This window comes from Homo sapiens, chromosome 7 (assembly GCF_000001405.40).
Source record: "Homo sapiens chromosome 7, GRCh38.p14 Primary Assembly".
NCBI classification, from domain to species: domain Eukaryota; kingdom Metazoa; phylum Chordata; class Mammalia; order Primates; family Hominidae; genus Homo; species Homo sapiens.
Window position 1 is genome coordinate 45407750 of NC_000007.14, and position 2469 is coordinate 45410218.

Here is a 2469-nt window from a genome sequence, read left to right on the forward strand (position 1 = left end):
AGATGGGCCAGAGCTGCGGCACCATCAGGGACTTCTTCAGCAGGGGCGCCGCCGATGGCACTCCCTGGTCTTGTTTTCTCCTGGGTCAGTGTCAGCGCTGAGCACGTGGACAGCACATGGCCGACTCTCTCCTCAAAGGGCTGCCACGGTAGGGGCATTTAATGTGTTTCCTATAAATTGAAAAGGCAGAACCCCTCCCCCAGCCCTTCCGCGTCCCAAAGGTAGAGGGAGCACTCTCATCGCTGTGGAGTTGCAGGAGAGGCTCCACAGGCCCTGCTCTTGCCTGGTGGGGATGCTGTGACCATGCGGGGCCTCGGTAGGACTTGGCTGCACCAGGCTACCTCCGCAGAAACCAACAAACACTGGTTACCTTTCCGCAGTACCCATCTGCTTCCAAGCCCCGGGAGCCTCCGCCTTCCGCCCCTCTGCTCCTTCCCTCCAACCTCCTCCACTTGCTAGCACCCTCTCTTCCATGGCTCTGGGGACACCCTGCTCCCCGTCTCTTCAGCTTCAGGCCCAGAATAGCTACTGCTCCAGATGGCTGGTGCACGCAGCCCAGCGTTCCTCCAGCCTCTTCGCCAATCCTTCCATCTTCCAAGTAACTGAGATACAGCCTCCTGCGCGTAGCTAGCAAGCGGGAGCCGGTCCAGCCTCTGCTGAATCCCCCTTCCCCCTCCAGTTCCCTCCAGGCAACTGCCCCCAAACTCCTGCCCTTATCAAAACAACACCCCTTTGCCTCTCCTGGGAGCCTCCTCTGCACCAGGCCCGCCATGCTCCATGCAGCCTGAGGGAGTCCCCAGAGCTGCGCACTGGCCGCGCCACTGTGCCTGGTGCTCTCCTCTTTCAGCCTTTACTGTTTTCCAATTTGCTCCTATCTGGTCCTCCTCTTCCTGCATCGTCTCTTTTGTCTGGGGTGAAAGGAGATGAGGGTGACCATCTCCTGTTTAAAAATGACAAAAATGACAAGGGAAAAAGGGCAGGAGAACCTCAGGCAGATGCATGGACATGGCGCTGTACAGGCATTTCCTCCCGCGAGGCTTACAAAACTCCCTCAAATACACGGTTATTTCTTGCCACTTTTCATAGGTGATATAATGGGAGCTCAGACTTGCCTGCTACTGGAACCTAGTGCTTCACAATGCCAGTGTTTGCATCTTTCTATTCTGTAGGCAATGCTGATTTTTGAACAAAAGAAACCATAAAAGGAAGAGGCAGAAATAAATTGAAAATATAACGAAAAGGCAGTCATTTCACTCTTAGGTAAGACGTTTTAAAAGAATCATCACCATGCGTGGTTTGTTACAAGTCTGTAGGAACAGGGACGTTGTGTCTGACCAGCTATGGATCTGTATAAAGCACACCCCATAAAAAGATCAGTGTATTTTCTAATGTCATTGAGCACACAAATGAATTTTCATGAGGTCTAAGCATCAAAGACAGTGCCTTCAACTCAGCAGAATTCCATTAACCATCACAAAAATTTTAAGGCTCACTAAATGCAAAGAAATTTCTCAGTTTGCCTTTGATTTAGTATCCATGGCTTGGGTTTGTAATTGGCCACCCTGCTTTATTTATTCTCATCTCCTTTGGTATAATTTTCATTAGGTGAAATTGCCAAGAGAGTCAGACAATGGGAAGAGGACTGGTAAGTTTCTTGTGACTACAGACAGACCTCTCTGTGGAACAGCACTGGTCCTGGAGGGACTTGGGGACATGTGGGCAAGGTACAGGGGCACCCCAGCAGGACCAGGTAGGAGCTGGTTTGGTACCAGGTGACTTAGGCCTAAGTCACCTGCCGGCAGTATAGACTGGGCTGGGAGCATTCAGTTGGGACTGTCAGACAGCGTTTTCTTCCACCACACTCAGCTACCTCCTGCACTTTCCCTAACTAGACTAGGAAGGTCTGTGCTTCCTAGACCTTCCTAGACCTTCTATGCTACAGGAAGGTCTATGCTTTTATTTGTAAAGATCTTTGGTGGATTTGTAGGATACTATAAGAGATATTGTGGCTGTAAGATTAACAATAGCCATAAGGCCCACTGAAACATCTTGCGGGGCTGACACTATGTGTTTCTTAGCAGTATGAGGCAACTTGGCTTGGGGATTTCCAACCCTGGCCCCAGGATTTCTAGGAGATAAGGCCACCTCAGCACAGATGAAGCTTTCATAAACCTTGAAACAAATCTTACCCTTACAGAAATAGCTTAAGCTGCCTTTATGAAAGAAATACTTGGTAATGGACCCAGACTGAATACAGGCTTAAGAAAGGGGGAAGAGGCCAGGCATGGTGGCTCATGCCTGTAATCCCAGCACTTTGGGAGGCCAAGGTGGGTGCATCATGAGATCTGGAGATTGAGACCATCCTGGCTAAAATGGTGAAACCTCGTCCCTACTAAAACTACAAAAAATTAGCCAGATGTGGTGGCACACACCTGTAGTCCCAGCTACTTGGGAGGCTGAGGCAGGAGA

General features: G+C 50.3%; 1 annotated feature.

Moving 5' to 3' along the window:
* Positions 371–871: an enhancer, noted in NCBI's record as "H3K4me1 hESC enhancer chr7:45447719-45448219 (GRCh37/hg19 assembly coordinates)". NCBI's record gives its function as "activates a minimal SCP1, AML or CMV promoter by ChIP-STARR-seq in naive H9 embryonic stem cells {active_cell/tissue: H9 hESC(naive)}" and the evidence as "EXISTENCE:reporter gene assay evidence [ECO:0000049][PMID:30033119]".